At 58.2% G+C, this 19,706-nt stretch overlaps 2 protein-coding genes and 1 pseudogene across 14 annotated transcripts in view, besides 5 other annotated features; 1 reads left to right on the top strand and 2 right to left on the bottom strand.

Moving 5' to 3' along the window:
- The window catches only part of ZDHHC12 (zDHHC palmitoyltransferase 12), a 3,255-nt gene extending 2,026 nt beyond the window's left edge, over positions 1-1,229 (top strand). For 2 of the 6 annotated variants that reach the window (NM_001318020.2, XM_011519116.3), the window contains exons 3-5: positions 16-93; positions 285-451; positions 622-1,229. In NM_001318020.2, coding sequence (NP_001304949.2) covers positions 16-93; positions 285-451; positions 622-823 — 447 coding nt within the window. In that variant the 3' untranslated portion in view covers positions 824-1,229. Of the gene's footprint in view, positions 1-15; positions 94-284; positions 452-571 lie in introns of all 6 variants that reach the window. The other 4 variants (NM_032799.5, NM_001318015.2, NM_001318023.2 and 1 more) reach the window with 3 other exon arrangements.
- On the bottom strand, positions 1,186-19,599 carry PKN3 (protein kinase N3). Of its 8 annotated transcripts, none has more exons than XM_017014650.2 (22): positions 19,163-19,599; positions 16,559-17,001; positions 16,223-16,368; positions 15,278-15,389; positions 15,079-15,206; positions 14,697-14,880; positions 8,904-9,050; positions 8,715-8,824; positions 8,460-8,603; positions 7,981-8,056; positions 7,737-7,905; positions 7,438-7,540; positions 7,237-7,304; positions 6,867-6,930; positions 6,642-6,733; positions 5,179-5,355; positions 3,715-3,777; positions 3,477-3,553; positions 2,274-2,416; positions 2,085-2,192; positions 1,819-1,899; positions 1,186-1,708 (listed from the first exon to the last, which is right to left on the bottom strand). In XM_017014650.2, exons 3-22 carry the CDS (start codon positions 16,253-16,255, stop codon positions 1,496-1,498), a joined length of 2,292 nt encoding a protein of 763 aa, XP_016870139.1. In that variant the 5' UTR covers positions 16,256-16,368; positions 16,559-17,001; positions 19,163-19,599; the 3' UTR covers positions 1,186-1,495. The 8 variants fall into 8 exon arrangements, with proteins under 8 accessions (XP_016870139.1, NP_037487.2, NP_001304855.1 ...); NM_013355.5 differs by having other exon boundaries at positions 16,559-16,799; NM_001317926.2 differs by having other exon boundaries at positions 1,863-1,899; positions 16,559-16,799.
- Positions 8,157-8,656: an enhancer, noted in NCBI's record as "H3K4me1 hESC enhancer chr9:131475725-131476224 (GRCh37/hg19 assembly coordinates)". NCBI's record gives its function as "activates a minimal SCP1, AML or CMV promoter by ChIP-STARR-seq in naive H9 embryonic stem cells {active_cell/tissue: H9 hESC(naive)}" and the evidence as "EXISTENCE:reporter gene assay evidence [ECO:0000049][PMID:30033119]".
- Positions 8,657-9,158: an enhancer, noted in NCBI's record as "H3K4me1 hESC enhancer chr9:131475223-131475724 (GRCh37/hg19 assembly coordinates)". NCBI's record gives its function as "activates a minimal SCP1, AML or CMV promoter by ChIP-STARR-seq in naive H9 embryonic stem cells {active_cell/tissue: H9 hESC(naive)}" and the evidence as "EXISTENCE:reporter gene assay evidence [ECO:0000049][PMID:30033119]".
- Positions 12,059-12,322, bottom strand: RN7SL560P (RNA, 7SL, cytoplasmic 560, pseudogene; annotated as a pseudogene).
- Positions 18,783-19,322: an enhancer, noted in NCBI's record as "H3K27ac-H3K4me1 hESC enhancer chr9:131465059-131465598 (GRCh37/hg19 assembly coordinates)". NCBI's record gives its function as "activates a minimal SCP1, AML or CMV promoter by ChIP-STARR-seq in naive H9 embryonic stem cells {active_cell/tissue: H9 hESC(naive)}" and the evidence as "EXISTENCE:reporter gene assay evidence [ECO:0000049][PMID:30033119]".
- Positions 18,783-19,706: a biological region, named in NCBI's record as "H3K27ac-H3K4me1 hESC enhancer GRCh37_chr9:131465059-131465598".
- Positions 19,137-19,706: a silencer, noted in NCBI's record as "silent region_20349". NCBI's record gives its function as "represses an Ori minimal core promoter by ATAC-STARR-seq in GM12878 lymphoblastoid cells {active_cell/tissue: GM12878}" and the evidence as "EXISTENCE:reporter gene assay evidence [ECO:0000049][PMID:35858748]".

Below are 19,706 nucleotides of genomic sequence, written 5' to 3'. Positions count from 1 at the left end.
CACCCCTCATTCCAGGAGGAGCTCAAAGAGGAGCAGACAGCCATGGTTCCTCCAGCCATCCCTCTTCGGCGCTGCAGATACTGCCTGGTGCTGGTGAGTGATGCACGGACACCCGTGGGAGAGGTTGGGCCAAAGCTGAGACTCCTCGACCTCCTCCTGCCCCACTGCCTGGGCCTCGCCCCTCCTCCAAGAAGGCCTTCCAGAATCAGGCCCTGATTCCTTCCCTCAGTGGTGGGCCCACAGCAGGGCTGGCACTGAGCCTCCACTCTCCTCCATGCCCACAGCAGCCCCTGAGGGCTCGGCACTGCCGTGAGTGCCGCCGTTGCGTCCGCCGCTACGACCACCACTGCCCCTGGATGGAGAACTGTGTGGGAGAGCGCAACCACCCACTCTTTGTGGTCTACCTGGCGCTGCAGCTGGTGGTGCTTCTGTGGGGCCTGTACCTGGCATGGTGGGTGCTGCTGCCCGGGTGTAGAGGGAGGGTGGGATGAATGCTCCCACAGGGGTGGACAGAGCCAGGACTCCCAGGGACCCGGCATGGGGAGGGAAGGGCTCCCCTGCCCTCCCCCAGCACCAGGCCCCTGTCCCCTGCACCGCAGGTCAGGCCTCCGGTTCTTCCAGCCCTGGGGTCAGTGGTTGCGGTCCAGCGGGCTCCTGTTCGCCACCTTCCTGCTGCTGTCCCTCTTCTCGTTGGTGGCCAGCCTGCTCCTCGTCTCGCACCTCTACCTGGTGGCCAGCAACACCACCACCTGGGAATTCATCTCCTCACACCGCATCGCCTATCTCCGCCAGCGCCCCAGCAACCCCTTCGACCGAGGCCTGACCCGCAACCTGGCCCACTTCTTCTGTGGATGGCCCTCAGGGTCCTGGGAGACCCTCTGGGCTGAGGAGGAGGAAGAGGGCAGCAGCCCAGCTGTTTAGGGTTGCTGGAGGCCGGGCTACCGTCTTGTGCCTGAAAACCACGGGGCCTGTCCCCAGCTGGGGTGAGCGCTCAGAGGGCCTGGGGCCCTCACTCCTGCCCACGCCTCCCAGACCCCAGAACGGAGCTTCAAGTCAGACAGATCCCTGCCTTGGTGGGCAGTTCTGCCTTCCAAGGAAGAAGGGGAAGAAAAGGACCTGTGGGTGGCTCAGGCCCAAGCAGACCCCGGGCTCCACCCCAGCCCCGCCCAGGCTGCTGCCAGTGCACACTTTTACAAATTTAATATAAAGCAAGTCCAGTCTTAAAAAGACAAACCATATCACTCCTTGCTGCGGCACCCTTTCTGGGCCAGGTCTCGCTGGGAGGTAGAAGAGGGCGAGCTGGAGGGGGAAGGGACACACTTTGCCCAGTGACACTGAGCAAAGCCCACAACAGTGGCCCCATGGCTGCCACTTTGAATCCCAAGGGCTCAGAAGTACCCAGCAAGGCCTGGACCTCCAGGCAGGGCGCACGGGTGAACGAGCAGAGGCTCTAACAGTCTGTGGGGGAAGGGGACAGAGGTGCCAGGAGATGCCCTCAGGGTTCCAGGAATCGCTCTGACACAAAGTCGAAGTCCCGGAAGGCGGCCTGTTGGCGGGCAGTGAGGAGGCTGTGGGGTGCAGGTGGGGTCAGGGCAGGCGGCAGCCCTGTGAACTCGCCCTCAAAGTAGCGCAGGTCCGCAGGGCCACACAGGGTAGGCACGAAGGGGGGCTGGATGGTGCGGGCGAGCAGGGCTTGCCAGTTGGTGGTCTGAGGGCAAAGGAGAGGCGCCTGAGACGGCAGGAACAGCAGCTCCAGGAGTCACTCCATGCCACCTACCCTGCCAGGCACAGGGGACCACCGCCACCCCAGCCGCTCACCCTGAAGAATGGCTGGACCTTGATCTCCTCGGCATCCTGCTCACCTGCCCCGAGGCGCTTCTCCGGGCACTTCTGGAGGAGCTGGGCAATAGGACAGGCGCTCACTTAGGGCATTCAGCCCCAGGCACTGCCATCATCCACAGGCCCCAAGCACGCTGGCCCAGAGCGCTCTAAGGATGGGTGGCAGGGGGTCTGCTGTCCCACGGCAGAGGGCACATGGGCCTTGAGCGGCCATCCAGCCCAGCCCCAGACCCCGCAGTGCTTACCTTCTGAATGAACTCAAGCCCTTGCACCGACAGAAAGCCGGGGTAGGGGGCGTCCATGTTGACGATGCAGTCAAACACCTCTTCCTCTGTGTCCCCTGGGAACGGGCACTGTGGAGATGGGGGCTCAGCAGGATGCACGGGCCACCCCACCCCCACCCAGAGGCCCAGGAAACAGGCTCCAGCACTCACCTCACCCACCAGCATCTCGTAGAGCAGCACACCCAGCCCCCACCAGTCCACAGCCCGTGTGTATGCCTCCTGGGTCAGCACCTCGGGAGCCAGGAACTCCGGGGTGCCACAGAAGGTGCTAGTCCGGTCCCCGAAGCCGATCCCTGCAAACCAACAGGCACACCAATAGCTGCTTGGTGTGGCCTATTCACAATAACTTCAATAGCCAAGCCTTATGATGCCAGGGAGCTGAGCCTGTGCCAAGCCCTGCCCTGTACCCAAGGAAGTGGGAATGGTTATGACGCCATTTGACTGCATGCAGAGCCAAGCTCACAGGCTAAGGTCACAGAAGGCAGAACTCGGCTGGGTGCGGTGGCTCACACCTGTAATCCCAGCACTTTGGGAGGCCGAGGTGGGCAGATCATGAGGTCAGGAGTTCGAGACCAGCCTGGCCAACATGGTGAAACCCCGTCTCTACTAAAAATACAAAAAATAAGCTGGGTGTGGTGGCATGTGCCTGTAATCGCAGGTACTCGGGAGGCTGAGGCAGGAGAATCTCTTGAACCTTGGAGGCAGAGGTTGCAGTGAGCCGAGATTGCGCCATTGCACTCCAGCCTGGGCAACAGGGCAAGACTCCATCTCAAAAAAAAAAGAAGCCGGGCGCAGTGGCTCACGCCTGTAATCCCAGCACTTTGGGCGGCCAAGGTGGGTGGATCATGAGGTCAGGAGATCGAGACCATCCTCGCTAACACAGTGAAACCCCGTCTCTACTAAAAAAATACAAAAATTAGCCAGGTGTGGTGGTGCTCGCTTGTAGTCCCAGCTACTTGGGCTGCTGAGGCAAGAGAATCGCTTGAACCCAGTAGGTGGAGGCTGCAGTGAGCCGAGACTGCACCACTGCATTGCATCCTGGGCGGCACAGCAAGACTCCGTCTCAAAAAAAAAAACAAACCAAAAAAAAAACAGAAGGCAGAACTCAGTCTCCTCTCCCATCCCTGACCACAGGCTCTCCCTTGGGCCAGGTGCAGGCTGGGGCTACGAGCCTCTAGGACTAGGAAGAAAGGGCCAGTGTGCCCAGCTGTCCCCTGGAATGAGGTCTGGGGTGGTGGAACCAGGGCATCCGCAGGTGAGGAGATTTCCTGGGACATGCCATGTGCCCATCATCCTATTGGCCAGGGTGGGTAAACAAGGCTGGAGATATGGATCCCAATGGGCGGCCCCCACCTTCCTTGCAGAGTCCAAAGTCTGCGATCTTCAGGAATCCCTGGGCATCCAGCAGAAGGTTATCCAACTTCAGGTCCCTGAGGGCAAGGGTGCAGATCAAAGGGACTGAGTGGGGCTTAGACCCAGGGAACAGTAACGGCCCCTGGAGCAGCCCAGGCAGGCGGAGGCAGCATCTGTCCTTACCCACTCCACCCCCACCCCCACCCCTACCCCCGTGCATCCCTGGGACAAAAGTCACCTGTAAATGATCTTCTTCTCGTGTAAGAACTGCAGCCCCAGGACAACACAAGCCACGTAGAAGCTGCAGGGGTGGTTATGGGAGAACTCAGGCCCAAGACACACACCAGGGAGGCAGGGCAGGGAGGCACCAGGATGGCCATAGCGGGGGGATCCCGGATGTCCCGGCCAGAGTCAGAGATGAGTGAGACTGGGACAAGCATCATGCTGAGGGTGGGGGTGCTCCAATAGTCCCAAGGTCGCCCCAAGGTTGCGTGCATTTCCAGCTCACCCTTCATGGGCCCTTAAATGGTGCCAGGGACCAAGTGTTGGTCCCTGCAGTGGATATTCATCATGCCTATTTTTTTTTTTTTTGAGACGGAGTCTCACTCTGTCACCCAGGCTGCAGTGCAGCGGTGCGATCTCGGCTCACTGCAACCTCCACCTCCTGGGTTCAAGCAATTCTCCTGCCTCAGCCTCCCAAGTAGCTGAGACTACAGGCACGCGCCACCACGCCCAGCTAATTTTTTTTTTTTTTTTTTTTTTTTAGTTTTTATAGAGATAGGGTTTCACCATGTTGGCCAGGATGGTCTTGATCTCTTGACCTCATGATCCACACGCCTCAGCCTCCCAAAGTGTGGGGATTACAGGCATGAACCAACGTGCCCGGCCTTTTTTTTTTTTTTTTTAGATGGAGTCTCACTCTGTCGCCAGACCGAAGTGGCGGGATCTCGGCTCACTCCAACCTCCGCCTCCTGGGTTCAAGCGATTCTCCTGCCTTAGCCTCTCAAGTAGCTAGGATTACAGGCGTGTGCCACCATGCCTAGCTAATTTTTGTATTTTTAGTAGAGACAAGATTTTACCATGTTGGCCAGGTCACGAACTCCTGACCTCAGGTGATCCACCCGCCTCAGCCTCCAAAGTGCTGGGATTACAGGTGCCCGGCCAATCATGCCTATTTTTCAAATAAAGATCTGAGACTCACCAGGTGTGGTGGCTCACGCCTGTAATCTCAGCACTTTGGAAGGCCGAGGTGGGCGGATCACTTGAGGTCAGGAGTTAGAGACCAACCTGACCAACATGGAGAAACCTCGTCTCTACTAAAAATACAAAATTAGACAGGAGTGGTGGTGCATGCCTGTAATCCCAGCTACTCAGGAGGCTGAGGCAGGAGAATGGCTTGAACCAGGGAGGCGGAGGTTGTGGTGAGCCGAGATCATGCCATTGCACTCCAGCCTGGGCAATAAGAGCCAGACTCTGTCTCACAAAAAAAAAAAAAAAAAAAAAAAAAAGAAACCTAATGCACAGCTTCATAAGCTGATACCCAGGATCACAAATGCTGTCAGTTGGTGCCAGGATGTAAACCAAGGCCTCTGACTCCTGCTCCCCTGCTGTTGGGCACTTGGAGAAAGCAGTATGTAGAGAGTGGGTGTAGGGAACCAGGCAAAGTTTGCTGGAAGAGGCAGGCAGGAGGGATGGAACCCACCGGGCCTGGGGCTCGGGGAAGACATCCTCGTGGATCTGCATCATGAGGTCACCACCAGGCACAAACTCAGTCACAAAGCAGGCATGGCTGGAGGTCTGGAAGCAGGCAAGGAGGGAGAGCAGGAAAGGGTGCCCTGTGCAGCCCACAGCCTCCAGGATCCGCTTCTCGCAGTACAGGCTACAGGAGAGAGCAAGAGTATTAGAGGGAAGGAAAACTTTCCCTGGGCTGTGCCCTGTGCCCTGCACAACACCCCTGGCTCACTGGGCCCTCAGCCAAAGTGCCAGGCAAGTAGACTGATGGTTTCTTTTCATTTTTTTTTTTTTTTTGAGACACAGTCTTGCTCTGTCGCCTGGGCTGGAGTGCTGTGGTGTGATCTCAGCTCATTGCAACCTCTGCCTCCCGGGTTCAAGAGATTTTTGTGCCTCAGCCTCCCGAGTAGCTGGGATTATAGGAGTGCGCCACCACGCCCAGCTAATTTTTGTATTTTTAGTAGACGCAGGGTTTCGCTGTGTTGCCCAGGCTGGTCTCGAACTCTTGGCCTCAAGTTATCCACCTGCTTCGGCCTTCCAGAATGCTGGGATTACAAGTGTGAGCCAGTGCGCCCAGCCTTTTTTTTTTTTTTTTTTGAGACAGGGTCTCACTTTCTTGCCCAGGCTGGAGTGATGTGGTGCGATCTCGGCTCACTGCAGCCTCCGCCACTGAGGTTCAAGTGATCCTCCCACCACAGCTTCACGAGTAGCTGGGTGTGCACCACCACGCCCAGCTAATTTTTGTATTTTTTGTAGAGGCGGGTTTCACCATGTTGTCCAGGCTGGCCTCGAACTCCTGGGCTCAAGCAATCCTCCCACCTTGGCCTCCTGAAGTGCTGGGATTACAGGCATGAGCCACTGTGCCCAGCCTCCCCCTCCTTTTTTTTTTTTTAATTAGTTTTTTTAGATGAGGTCTCATTCTGTTGCCCAGGCTGGAGATCTCTGCTAACTATAACCTCTACCTCCTGGGCTTAAGCAATCCTCTCACCTCACCCTCCCAAGTAGCTGGGACTAAAGGCACATGCCACCATGTCTGGCTATTTTTTATAGATGGGGTTTCACCATGTGATTCAGATTGGTCTTGAACTCCTGGACTCAAGTGATCCGCCTGCCTTGGCCTCCCAAAGTGCTGGGGTTACATGCATGAGTTACCACGCCTGGCCATAGAGTGATGGTTTCTATATGTCAGGGGCTCACAAGGAGCTCTGAACGTGCACAGCCACCAATGCCCCCATTTTACAGTAGAGCAAACTGACAGAGAGAAGAGGGGACCTGCCCAAGGAAACACAGTTAACAACTGCAGGTGCCAAAAGAGAATGCAGGCTGGCTGGCCCCACGGGGTCACCTCTCCAAAGCCCCAGGAACCTTCAACTGCCCTCTGGATGCCACAGCCCAGGCCAGCCATCCTGGGTGCCCTGCGGCACCCCCACACACCTCTCTATCTCGTCCCGGCTGAGCACCTCCTGCTTCTTCAGTGCTTTGATGGCGTAGTATTTCCCTGTCCCCTTGAACTGGACCAGGAGGACCTGGGGCCAGAGAGAGGTTGTGCTCCAGGTGGGCCAGACCAGGGAGCCTTTACCGCCCCCACAGATCAGGTCCTCCCGGCTCATGTGATGAGGCCCCCAATCCCGTCCCATACCACCCTCTTCAGCCCACTACCTTCCCAAAGTGTCCCCGGCCCAGCACAGCTAAGCAGCGGAAGTCCTGAAGCCGAGGGGGTTTCCTGCAAAGGAAGAGAGGGTATATGAAGTCCCCTAGGGCACTGGCTGGGCCCCTACCCAGAGCCACTCCAAGCCTCCCATGCCCAGTCCTGGGCTGTCCCGACCTATGGGCTCGAAAAAGCCCTGCAGTAAGGACTCCTAGAAGCCGGCATAGAGCTGGAGCTCAATAATGTGGGTTTAGTAAATCAGACCCCGAGAGCCAGTCAGCGCACCCGCCAGGGAGCCAGGGAGTAATGTATGAATGGATACACAAATGTTCAAGCAAGCAGACGAACGTCTCAAACATGAAGGTGCGCAGGATGGGGTACCTGGTGGGGGAGGCTGGTGGAGATGGCCCACGTCGAGTCCTAGGCTCCATATGGGGACGTTTGGTGCGCTGTGAGTATAGAGGAGCTCAGGGCAGGGCTGGGCTTCCTTCTCTCTTTCCCTTCAGGCCTGCCACCCCACAGCTGGGTGGCCCTGCCAGCCCCAGCCGGCCCTAGGAGCCACTAGTCCCTCCAGCCCCTCACCGGAGTCTCCTCGGATGTTGGCTCCTGGGGGAGGTAGAGGCGTGGGGGCTTGGGTGGGGGTGTCATCTCTTCACCCAAGGGGGTCTTCTTGGGCAGGAAATTACTGTAGGGAGAAAGTAGACACAGTGCCCAGCACAGGCAGACGCAAGAGCTGGCAGGATGGACACACCAACCCAAAGTGAGATGGACAGAGGGTTAGCGGGCTGAGCAATGCAGACAGACAGACAGATACCGCCTGGATCTGGAGTCAGGAAGCCGCCACAGAGGAGCATGCAGTCTAGGGCAAGGGAGCTCCTCACCTGGGAGTGGCAGGGTCAGAGGCCTCTCGCAGTGTTGTTGGGGTCCGAGGGCATCCTTTAGGGGGGCTGATTGTGCTCGGGGAGCTGCAGGGGGGCAGCAGGTTCATGACGAGGCGCCCCCAGGCCGCCATGCCGAGGTTCATCTGCGAAGCCCTCAGGAAGTCCTGGCCTGGGAGAAAAGGGGGAGCTTAGTCCCGGGACCCCAGCCCTGCTCCCTCACACATAGCCCCCATTCCCTCCACACCTCTGCGTTTAGAGAAGATGCGTTCCTGCCTCTGCAGCCGGGGCCGCCTCTCAATGACAGGATCGCAGAAGGTCACCTGCAGGGGTAGGGGCAGGGTTGTGGACCAGTCGCCTCCCATCTCATCTGCCATGGCACCTCCTCTGCCCCTGGGATTACAGCCCAAGCCCCCAGGGTCAACAGATGCAAGAGCCAGAAAGACCCAGAGAAACAGATTCAATGTCCTCATTGATACTAGTGGAGAAACAGAGGCCCAGGGAGGAGAGGCACTTTTCCAGGGTCACACCTGAGGCAGGGCAGTCAGGACAAGGACCCAGGCCTCCAGATGCAGCCCTGAGAGAGCGGCTAGGAGCCCTTATTCCTGGAGCCCTCCTCTCTGGTCGTCAGTCTCTGCACCTACACGCAGTGCATCGGTCTTGAAGGCCTTCCTGGCCCTGACGCCCCAGGGTCCCACCAAGTCAGAGGGCGGAGGTGGTGAGCACCTGGGCAAAAAGCAGTCCCTGCGGTACCAGGCTGAGGGACAGTTGGTGACAGGCATTGTCCAGGAAGTCCTCAAGTCTCAGGAAGGCCACGCCACATAGCTGCCGCCAGTCCCGCCAGTGTACCCCAATCTCCAGCTCACGGGCCTGTATTGGGGAGGCCAGGCTGAAGGGTGGGGTGCAGAACGAGCCCCGACCTGGGCAGCCTTCCACCCCGCAGCCCAAGGTCACCCCTGACCACACAAAGGCCAGCCTTACTCGCTCCAGTGGGATGACAAAGGTCTGGTCCCAGGACTGTTCGGCCACCTGCCCCCAGCCCGTCTGCCCCACAACACGGTTGTCCACCTTTAGCACAGCCAGCACCTCGCCTGCAGGGCCAGAGCCGGGACTCAGGGCAGGCCTGAAGCAGGGGTCTCCTGCTCCCCCTGAAGCTCCTTCCCTACTCACTGGCAAGCTCGCCTCGGCCACGCTGGTGCTTGGCCTTGGTCCGAAGCCAGCCCTCGGAGGGGCTGCTGGCCAGTGCGGCCGCTGGGGAGCGCCCAGGCACGGCTGTCAGCAACTGTTCACAGCCCAGGAGGCGGACCTGCAGTGTCCCTGTGGGGAGAGTGAGCGGGGGGCGTTGTCAGATGCCATCTTCCCACTGCTACCACCAAGGTGTCCTGGGACCCCAGGAAGGCCACCCTCTCCAGGAGGTGGCTGAACCCAGACCGTACCCACCTGAGGCCAGGGCAGTTACCTGAGGAACCTCACTCAGTGTGGCGGCCTAGAGTGCCTAGACTGGAGCCTGCTGACTGTCCTGCAGCTCCCAAGCACCATGAGCCCCCCAAAGGGTACCCTTGGACCCCGATGACACCCTAGGAGGCCTCCGACCTGGACACTCCCAGGTGAGGAGCCACGTTGTCCCAGAATGCACACTTCTCTGTGGCAGCCACCTCTTTCCAGGGCAGAGCAACTGGCTCTCCCCTCCACATGCTGGAGCGGCAGGGACATAGGCTCAGACCTCAGACCTTAGCCAGGCTGCACAGAGCCACAGCACATGACGAGATGCTGCCTAGAAGTGGGGCCTAGAGAGCACTGTGGCAAGGATAAGAGCTTGGGACAGGGAGCAGGAAGCCTGGCTTCCTGTCCGGACCCACCTGCTCCCTGGGCCTCAGTTTCCCCATCTGAACAGTGGAGGTGAGTCCCAGCTCTGCCCCACCTCTCCCAATGGATATGAAACGTGTTTTGTCAACGGAGTAAGTTCATGTGTCACGTCACTAGAGGGTTGTCCCTCAAAGGGTAGAGAAAGCAGTGGGGATCTAGCAGCTTTTGAGGACACGAAGCAGGCCCAAGAGTATCATTTAGGGAGAGTCTGGGCCTGGGGGTTACACACAGAGAGAACTTGTAAACAAAGGCAGGGGTCCAGGGTAGAAAGAGAAGCTTAGAAAGAACAGCTCGGCCGGGCGCAGTGGCTCATGCCTGTAATCCCAACACTTTGGGAGACCAAGGCAGGCAGATCACCTGAGGTCAGGAGTTCAAGCCCAGCCTGACCAACATGGCGAAACCCCATCCCAACTAAAAATACAAAAACCAGCCGGGCATGATGGTGGGCACCTGTAATCCCAGCTACTCGGAAGGCTGAGGCAGGAGAATCACTTGAACCCGGGAGGCAGAGGTTGCAGTGAGCCAATATTGTGCCATTGCACTCCAGCCTGGGCGACAGAGCAAGACTCCAGCTCAAAAAAAAACAAACAAAACAAAAACTTGAGGCCGGGCGTGGTGGCTCACACCTGTAATCCCAGCACTTTGGTAGGCTGAGGCAGGTGGATCACCTGAGGTCGGGAGTTCGAGACCAGCCTGGCCAACATGGTGAAACTCTGTCTCTACTAAAAATACAAATATTAGCCGGGCATGGCGGTGGGCGCCTGTAATCCCAACTACTTGGGAGGCTGAGGCAGGAGAATCGCTTGAACCTGGGAGGCGGAGGTTGCAGTGAGTCAAGATTATGCCACTGCACTCCAGCCTGGGCGACAAAGCAAGACTCTGTCCCCCACCCCCCCCAAAAAAAAGGCCGGGCGTGGTGGCTCACACCTGTAATCCCAGCACTTTGGGAGGCCGAGGTGGGCAGATCACGAGGTCAGGAGATCAAGACCATGGTGAAACCTCGTCTCTACTAAAAATACAAAAAATTAGCCGGGCGCAGTGGCGGGCGCCTGTAGTTAGTCCCAGCTACTCGAGAGGCTGAGGCAGAAGAATGGCGTGAACCCGGGAGGCAGAGCTTGCAGTGAGCCGAAATCACACCACTGCAATCCGGCCTGGGCGACAGAGCAAGACTCTGTCTCCAAAAAAAAAAAAAAAAGAGGTGGGGCGAGGTGGCTCACGCCTGTAATCCCAGCACTTTGGGAGGCCAAGGCGGGCAAATCACCTGAGGTCGGAAGTTCGAGACCAGCCTGACCAACATGGAGAAATCCCATCTCTACTGAAAATATAAAAATTCGCCAGGTGTGGTGGTACATGCCTGTAATCCCAGCTATTCAAGAGGCTGAGGCAGGAGAATTGCTTGAACCCGGGAGGCGGAGGTTGCAGTGAGCCAAGATTGCGCCACTGCACTCCAGTCTGGGCAATAAGATCGTGTCACTGCACTCCAGCCTGGGCAATAAGAGCAAAACTCCATCTCAAAAAAAAAAAAGGACAACTCAAGTATCTGGGGTGTTTAGCCAGGGGACAGGATATGGGGTGGCCTTGAGTAGTTGACTTCTAGGCCTTTTAACAAGCTGTTTCTTCTGCGTTCCTCAACTTGTCTACTTGGCCATAAGTACTCCCGTGTAAGTCCTTCAAGGCCAAGACACCACCTCCTCTAGAAAACATTCCTTGGGCCGGGCATGGTTGGCTCACGCCTGTAATCCCAGCACTTTGGGAGGCCAAGGCAGATGGATCACCTGAGGTCAGGAGTTTGAGACCAGCCTGGCCAACATGGCAAAACTCTGTCTCTACTAATAATACAAAAATTAGCCAGGCATGGTGGTGCAGGCCTGTAATCCCAGCTACTCGGGAAGCTGAGGCAGGAGAATTGCTTGAACCCAGGAGGCGGAGGTTGCAGTGAGCTGATATCGCACCACTGCACTCCAGTCTGGGCGACAGTGCGAGACTCCATCTCAAAAAAAAAAGAAAAGAAAATATTCCTCGATTCCCCAAGGCCAGGTGAGAGGGCTCCATCCAGAGCCTGCATTTCCTCTTCTCAGCTCTGCTCACAATGGAATGGGGTCAGTCGGCCCTGTAGCAGTGCTCTGTGGAGACAGGCACTGGCCTTTCCAGCTCTCACTGTATCTCGGTGGGATACAGCTTCAAAGCCCATGCTCTCAGATTATTTGTTGATGATGATTTGGCTGCTGCTACAAGGAGACAGATCTCAGTGCAAGATAAGAAAATTAACTTTTTTGGCCGGGCGCGGTGGCTCACACCTGTCCCAGCACTTTGGGAGGCCTAGGCCGGCAGATCACAAGGTCAGGCGATCGAGACCATCCTGGCTAACACGGTGAAACCTTGTCTCTACTAAAAATACAAAAACAAAAAATTAGCCAGGTGTGGTGGCGGGCACCTGTAGTCCCAGCTACTCGGGAGGCTGAGACAGGAGAATGGCATGAATCCGGGAAGAGGAGCTTGCAGTGAGCCGAGATCGCGCCACTGCACTCCAGCCTGGGTGACAGAGCTCAGAGTCTCACTCTGCTCGGAGTCTCACTCTGTTTGGAGTCTCACTCTGTCACCCAGGCTGGAGTGCAGTGGCACAATCTCAGCTCACTGCAAGCTCCGCCTCCCAGGTTCATGCCATTCTCCCACCTCAGCCTCCCGAGTAGCTGGGACTACAGGCGCCCGCCACCACACCCAGCTAATTTTTGCAAATTTTTTTTTTTTTTGAGACAGAGTTTTGCTCTTGTTGCCCAGGCTGGATTCCAATGGTGCCATCTTGGCTCACTGCAACCTCCACCTCCCGGGTTCAAGCAATTCTCCTGCTTTAGCCTCCTGAGTAGCTGGGATTATAGGCATGCACCACCAGGCCCGGCTAATTTTGTATTTTTTAGTAGAGACGGGGTTTCTCCATTTTTGTCAGGCTGCTCTCGAACTCCCGACCTCAGGTGATCCACCCACCTCGGCCTCCCAAAGTGCTGAGATTACAGGCATGAGCTGCCGTGCCCAGCCTAATTTTTTTTTTTTGAGACGGGCTCTCTGTTGCCCAGGCTGGAGTGCAGTGGCGCGATCATGGCTCATTGTACCCTCAACCTCCCTGGGCTCAAGCAATCCTCCCACCTCAGCCTCCCAAGTAGCTGGGACTACAGGTACGTACCATCATACCTGGCTAATTTTTTTATTTTTTTATTTTTTTTTGAGACAGAGTCTCGCTGTGGCCCAGGCTGGAGTGCAGTGGTGCGATCTCGGCTCACTGTAGGCTCCGCCCCCCGGGGTTCCCGCCATTCTCCTGCCTCAGCCTCCCGAGTAGCTGGGACTACAGGCGCCCGCCACCACGCCCGGTTAATTTTTTGTATTTTTAGTGGAGACAGGGTTTCACCGTGTTAGCCAGGATGGTCTCGATCTCCTGACCTCGTGATCCGCCCGCCTCGGCCTCCCAAAGTGCTGGGATTACAGGCGTGAGCCACCGCGCCCGGCGATTTTTGTATTTTTTGTAGAGATGGAGCTTTGTCATGTTGCCCAGGCTGGTTTCAAACTCCTGGACTCAAGTGATCCACATGCCTCACCCTCCTAAACTGCTAGGATTATAAACATGAGCCACTGAGCCAGACCAGAAAACTCTTTCTTTTTTTTTTTTTCTTGAAAGAGTTTTGCTGTGTCACCCACGCTGGAGTGCAACAGTGCAATCTTGGCTTACTGCAACCTCTGCCTCCCAGGTTCAAGCAATTCTCTTGCCTCAGCCTCCCCAGTAGATGGGATTACAGGCATGCGCCACCACGCCCGGCTAATTTTTTTTGTTTCTAAAGATGAGGTTTCACTATGTTGCCCAGGCTCGTCTAGAAATCCTGGGCTCAAATGATTCGTCCACCTCAGCCTCCCAAAGTGCTGGAATTACAGGCTTGAGCCACTGTGCCCAGCCAAGAAAACTTTCTTTTTTTCTTTTTTTTTTGAGACTGGGTCTCAAAAAAACTCCTGAGCTCAAGCAATCTTCCCACCTCAGCCTCTCAAAGTGCCAGGATTATAGGTGTGAGCCACTGCACCCAGCAATTTTAGTTTAATTTTATTATTTTTTTTCCAAGGAAATTATTATTATTATTTTTTGAGATGGAGTCTTGCCCTGTTACCTAGGCTGAAGTGCAGCGGCGCAATCTCAGCTCACTGCAACCTCACCTCCTGGGTTCAAGCAATTCTCCTGCCTTAGCCTCCCGAGTGGCTGGGACTACAGGCATGTGCCACCACATCCAGCTACTTTTTTGTATTTTTAGTAGAGACAGGATTTCACCATGTTGGCCAGGCTGGTCTTGAACTCCTGACCTCAGGTGATCCGCCCACCTCAGTCTTCCAAAGTGCTGGGATTACAGGCATGAGCCACCATGCCTGGCCCAAGAAAACCTTTTTTTTTTTTTTTTTTGCGACGGCGTCTTGCCCCGTCGCCCAGGGTGGAGTGCAGTGGCGTGATCTCGGCTCACTGCAACCTCCGCCTCCGGGGTTCAATCAATTCTCTGCCTCAGCTTCCTGAGCAACCAGGATTACAGGCACCCGCCACCACGCCCGGCTAATTTTTGTATTTGTAGTAGAGACAGGGTTTCACCATCTTGGCCAGGCTGGTCTTGGAACTCCTGACCTCATGATCCACCCACCTCAGCCTCCCAAAGTGCTGGAATTACCAGCGTGAGCCACCACGCCCAGCCTAGAAAACTTTCTAACAGTCCAAGCTGCCCAGTGCTGGGTATCAAGCTTTCCAGGGCTGCGAGCTTCCTAACACCAGTGCTTTAAGCATTATTCTGGTTATTTATGTAAATACAAGCTACGCTGTCCGAGTGCTGACTGTGCTAGGCACTGTGCTTAGCACATCACGTGCAACACAGCAACCCTATGAGGTAGGTGCTATATCATCCACATTTTACAGATGGATAAACTGAGGTTTGAAGAAGGAATGTCAGTTTGCCAAGGTCACGCTGCTAGTGGGTGCTGGGGCAGGACTGGAACTCTTGAACTCTTCATCAGAGTTGTTTGTGCTTCCGGCCTCCCCCCAAAAAGAAGGAGAGCTTTGAAGGGGGAGGAACTTCTGACTACCTGTTAGGGCGGTGGGCTTCACAGGTGTCCCTGAAGGCTGGGGGTATCCAGGCACCGCAGCCCGCAACTCTCGGGTCACTCTGCTGCGCAAAGGGTGGGCAGGAGGCAGTTGCTCCAGCAGCTGCTCCAAGGCCAGGCGCAGGAGGTCCAGTTTCTGAGAGGACTCCTGTAGCTGGGCCTGGGCCTGCAGAGGGGACAACGTAGAGCCAGGTTCGTGGGGTATATGGCAGGGGGCAGCAGCCCAGGTCACCCGGAGCCACCTTCCGCATGAAGTCTCAACAGAGAAGTCCTGCTTTTACACGGCCACCCTCCCTTCACACCCCTGCTGAGGGTGGTATGGGAACAAGCCAGCCTTAGGAGAGGGCCAGGGCTGGGGCCTGACCTCAGCCAGTGCCTTGCGGTCCTGTGTTCTCCGGCTACTAAGCAGTTTCACCACGTTCTTGGCGCCCTCAGCCACAGCTGCCTCAACGTGCAGTCGATGCTGTAGCTCCTCCGCCAGCAGCTCAGGCCCTGTGGGAAGGACGGCGGCTCTCAGGCCCTGCTCTTCCCTGCTCCGCCCTCCCTGTGTCTCAAGGCCTCACCTGGCTCCGGGGACCCACTGGCCTCCAGGCTGCTGATCTTCATCCGCAGCAGGGCCACCTTCAGCTGGCTGTCCCGCAGCATCTGCTGGGCAGCTGCCAGGAGCTTCCTCTCCTATGGAGCCATAGCACAGGCCCATCAGACCAGGCCTGGGCCACAGCTTCCCCCATCAGACCAGGAACTGGAGCCGGGTCTCCCCCATCAAAACAGGGTTAAAGTGAAACCTCTAGGCCAAACACTAAAGTCAAGCCTCCCTTGTTGGACTAGTTGGTGGGTCAGGGGAGCCTTTTCCATCTGACCAACAAGGGCTGGGGTCAAATTTCCTCTTTCATATCACGGCTGGGGTCATGCCTCTCCCATCAGATCAGGGCTGGGGCTAACTCTCCCCCATCAGATCAGGGCTGGGGCTAACTCTCCCCCATCAGATCAGGGCTGTGGTCATGCCTCCCCCATCAGAGCAGGGTTGATGCTTCCCCCATCAGATCAGGGCAGGGGCTAAGCTAAGCCTCCCCCATTAGATGAGGGCAGGGGCTAAGCTAAGCCTCTCCCATCAGATCAGGGCTGGGGATAAGCCTCCCCCATCAGATCAGGGCAGGGGCTAAGCTAAGCCTCCCCCATTAGATCAAGGCTAAGGTCCTGCCTCCGTCATCATATCAGGGCCACAGCCAAGTCTTCTTGTCAGACAAGGACTGAGGCCCAGTTCTGGACATCATGCTGGGAGTTGGGACTGGGGCTGGGCTAGGATCCCATTAGACCAGGGCAAGGCCTTCTCTGTCACACTAGAGACTACAGCCATGCCTTCCTCACCCAGCTGGGGTTTGGGGCTGTATTTTCCCCATCAGGCTGCAGGCTGGAATGGTGTCTCCTTATGAGCCCAATGGCTGAGGTGCATTTCCCTGTCAGACCAGGGGCCAGGGTGCTCCTGCCATCAGACTGTGGGGCCTTACCTTGGGGGTGCCACTGGCGCACGTGTGGGTCATGTTCTCAGCCCCCTGCTTCACCTTCAGCTCCACATGCAGCTGCCTCCGGAGAGCCTCTAGGTGCCGAGCCCTGAGCTGCTCTGCCCACGGCCGGGGTCCTGAGGCCACAGGCTCTGTGCACGGGGGTATCGAGCACAGGAGTCCCTCACCCAGAGCCGAGACCCCCACTGTGGCCTTTCCTCCTTCCCCTACTGATCTATAGGCAGGAAATGAGGTGGTCTCGCCACAGTGGCCAGGGCCAAGGCCAGGGGCCAGATGGGCCTAGAGCCTTCTGTCCTGAGGGGGTCTCAGCTCCTCACTCACCAGCTGGGCCAGGCCCAGGGCCGGGCAGCAGGATTCGGGCGTGCAGCTCCCGCAGCTCGCCATGCAGCTGCTCCAGGCGGCGGTTGGAGGACCGCAGCAGCTGCTGCACATGGCCCAAGTGGCGGCGGTCTGTGGCCACGCGCCGCAGGTTCTCCACCCCCTCCTTGATCTTCAGCTCTTTCTGGATGGCCCGGCGGATCACCTCCTTCTCATCCTCTGGGGGCCACTGGCTCGGCCCAGGCTGCAGAGCCGGTGGAAAGCAGAGGGTGGAGAACAGCCATGGGGTGCAGCGGCCACCAGCAGCCTTTGCTCACTGCAGATGGAGGCGAAGGAAGGGACGGCACCCAGGACTGACTCGCACAGGGTTTTGGAAGCCTCTCTCCCCTTAGAGCTCAGGCCTGAGCCAGATGGAAACTCCGAGGCCACTCATCTAGGCCAGGCTCCTGTCCTCCGCCCGTTAGAGAAGGATGTGGCGGGGGGGACAGTTCACACGGTAAATGGGTGCCAGGTTCTATTCTAAGTGCTTTGCATATATTACCACATCACTCCTCCCAGCCACCCCACCCGGTAGCGGTGGTCATTACCCCCATTTTCTTTTTTCTTTTTCTTTTTCTTTTTTTTTTTTTTGAGACAGTTTTGCTCTTGTTGCCCAGGCTGGAGTGCCATGGCACGATCTCGGTTCACCACAACCTCTGCCTCCCGGGTTCAAGCGATTCTCCTGCCCCAGCCTCCTGAGTAGCTGGGATTACAGGCACACGCCACTAAGCCCGGCTAATTTTGTATTTTTAGTAGGGACGGGGTTTCTCCATGTTCGTCAGGCTGGTCTTGAATCCTGACCTCAGGTGATCCACCTGCCTTGGCCTCCCAAAGTGCTGGGATTACAGGTGTGAGCCACCACGCCTGTACTATTACCCCTATTTTCTAGTGAGGAAACTGAGGCCCAGAGAGGTGAAGTAACTTGCCCACAGTCAAGACACAGAGGAGGGGCCACCATCTCTCGGGCCCCAGCTGTCCCTGGCAGCCCTGGGTAATCAGGCTGCTCTCTCTACATCTGGGACCCAAAGTAGAGTCCAGGAGCCACAAAAGCTACGCCGAATAGGGGTTCACACGAAGCCACATGAGAAGGCAGCCAGGGGCCTGGGAGCCAGGGCTTGTTCCCCTGATGTCCCAATGCCACAGGTAGCAAAGCAGAGGCACAGAGAGGAACTGGGGAGGTCTCCGGGTGCCCACTCCCTGCTCAGCTCCCGGGAGGAAGTAGAAGGCTCTCTCACGGCTTCACCCAGGTTGGAGCCAGGAACAGGAACACCTCCTTTCCAGCCGCCAGCATTTCAAACCAACCGGTGCCAAAGGTGACCTCAGGCCGGGTAACCCATGATGCCCCGCAACACGGGCTGTTGCAGGAACCCCATCTTACCTCTCTGTGTTCCATCTTCTCCTGAGCCCAGTGGAAGGGGCCGCAACCCCAGACTCAGGGACCCCCCCACCCCAGACCTCAGCGGGGCCTGCTGGCCCAGCTGTCAGAGGGCAAGGGCGAGGCTCAGGAAATCCTCTGACCGCCCTAGGCCACAGGGCCAGAGCCAAAGACCGGAGCAAACAAAGGTCCCATGGAGCTGGGGGCCCGGCCACCGGGGTCCTGAGTCACCCAGCTGCCGCTGCAGGGCGGAGCCCCGCAGGAAATCGGAAAATGTGTACAAGCTACGTCTGGAACAGGCGGAGGGACCTCCAGAGGAAGGGGGTGGGAGGGGGCAGACCGAGCCCCAGCCCTGAAGGCGGCCTAAACGACTGGCTTGGGCGCTCAAGGAGTCTACACGCACCCCGCAACACCCCCATGGTCCCGTCTGCCCTGGGTTGGAACTCCAACATGGACACACACACCACCTCCTTTCCGCTCTTTGCGGGGACCCACTCCTGTCCGCAAATGCCCCCCTCCCAACCACTCGCTCCGGAACAGGACACCACCTCTCCCTCCTCAGGAGCAGATAGACATGGCCTCGGTCCTCCGGGCCCACGCGCACCTACTGCCAGCTCTGGCAGGAAACCCAGCCCCCTCCGCATTCTAGAACCCGCTATGTACCCAAAGGTTCCCGCCCTGGGGCGGGGGAGGCCGCTCCCCTCTCATCTACGCTCCCCTCGTGCCTCCTGTGCTCCGGGAAGGACTCCTGCCACTGCCAAGCGCGCACAGACTGCGCCCCCCGCTGCGCGCACATTCTAACCCCCCCAGGCCCCTGTGCCCCGCCTTTCTATCCCGGCTAATTCCCGTCGGCCTTGGAGCCCCACCGAGGAGAACCGACTTAAGGACACTCTGGGGACCACCCTGGTGGCGCACACTGCGGACTCAGCCGTCCTCGCTCACGGGCTGGTTGGGGTTCAGTCTCCGGGTCAGCCGCGGACTGATTTGGAGACTGTGCAAGGTCCAGGAACCACCGAACCCGGAGATCAGGTCTGCTCTGCGAGGGCGTCGCGGGGCCGGGGCCAGGGCAGGGGCAGGGAAGGGGCGCGGGTGAGGGGAGGATCGGGGGAAGCGGCCGCGGTTCGGGGCTCCGGGGCGATGACAGAGGCTTTCTCGCACCCCCCGGGCCCGCGCGCCCCTCCCACGCCGTTCACCTGCCGCGGCGCCCCCTCCTCCATGGCGCCGCTCCGGCCGCTTGGGGCCCTTCTCTCAGCCACTCCGGTCCCGGAAGCCGCAGACCCTCCGCCAGGACTTTCAAACTTGAAACTTCCCGGGAAGCGGCGCCGGAGACGCGGGATCGGGCGCCCCCTCCCGAGACCCGCTGGCCCGCGGGACCAGCGCCGCCTCCCGTCCGCGCCGATCCAGCGCCCGGGACCCCACGCCCGAGGTCCCGCGCCCCAGCGCCTCCCTCGGATCCAAAATTCCGCGGGATTCTGGGCCCAGTACCCGGGCTTCGGCGCCTGCGGTTCCCGCTGGGCGTGACCGCGCCTCACCCCCGGTTTGGACGCTCAGGAGGCACATCGCCCGCGCCCAGGTCCTCTGGCCTTCCCCGCCGCGCGCCCGCGGGAGCCGGCCAGTTAGGGACAGGGATGGGGGAAACAGCGCCCCCTGAAGGTTGCCGGGTCGCCCAGCCGGGTGCAGCCGGTGGAGCTGGCCGCCTCCTCTAACTTTGAGCCCCTCTACAACCTGGCTCCCGCC

Source organism: Homo sapiens, chromosome 9, assembly GCF_000001405.40.
Source record: "Homo sapiens chromosome 9, GRCh38.p14 Primary Assembly".
Lineage (NCBI taxonomy): Eukaryota > Metazoa > Chordata > Mammalia > Primates > Hominidae > Homo > Homo sapiens.
Note: the sequence above shows the minus strand (reverse complement) of the source record. Positions and strands in the feature narration are given on the sequence as shown.

Bases quoted from the DNA above. Each gene is read 5' to 3' on its own strand.
- PKN3 (XM_006717080.4), bottom strand. From the start codon at position 18,677: ATGAGAGGGGAGCGGCCTCCCCCGCCCCAGGGCGGGAACCTTTGG. The intron at 6,931-7,236 runs GTACCCCATCCT...CTTCCTTTGCAG, and splicing joins CCACCAGCCTCCCCCACCAG to GAAACCCCCTCGGCTTCAGG. The intron at 2,193-2,273 runs GTGAGTGCTGGA...CCATCTCCACAG, and splicing joins ACGAGATGCTGGTGGGTGAG to TGCCCGTTCCCAGGGGACAC.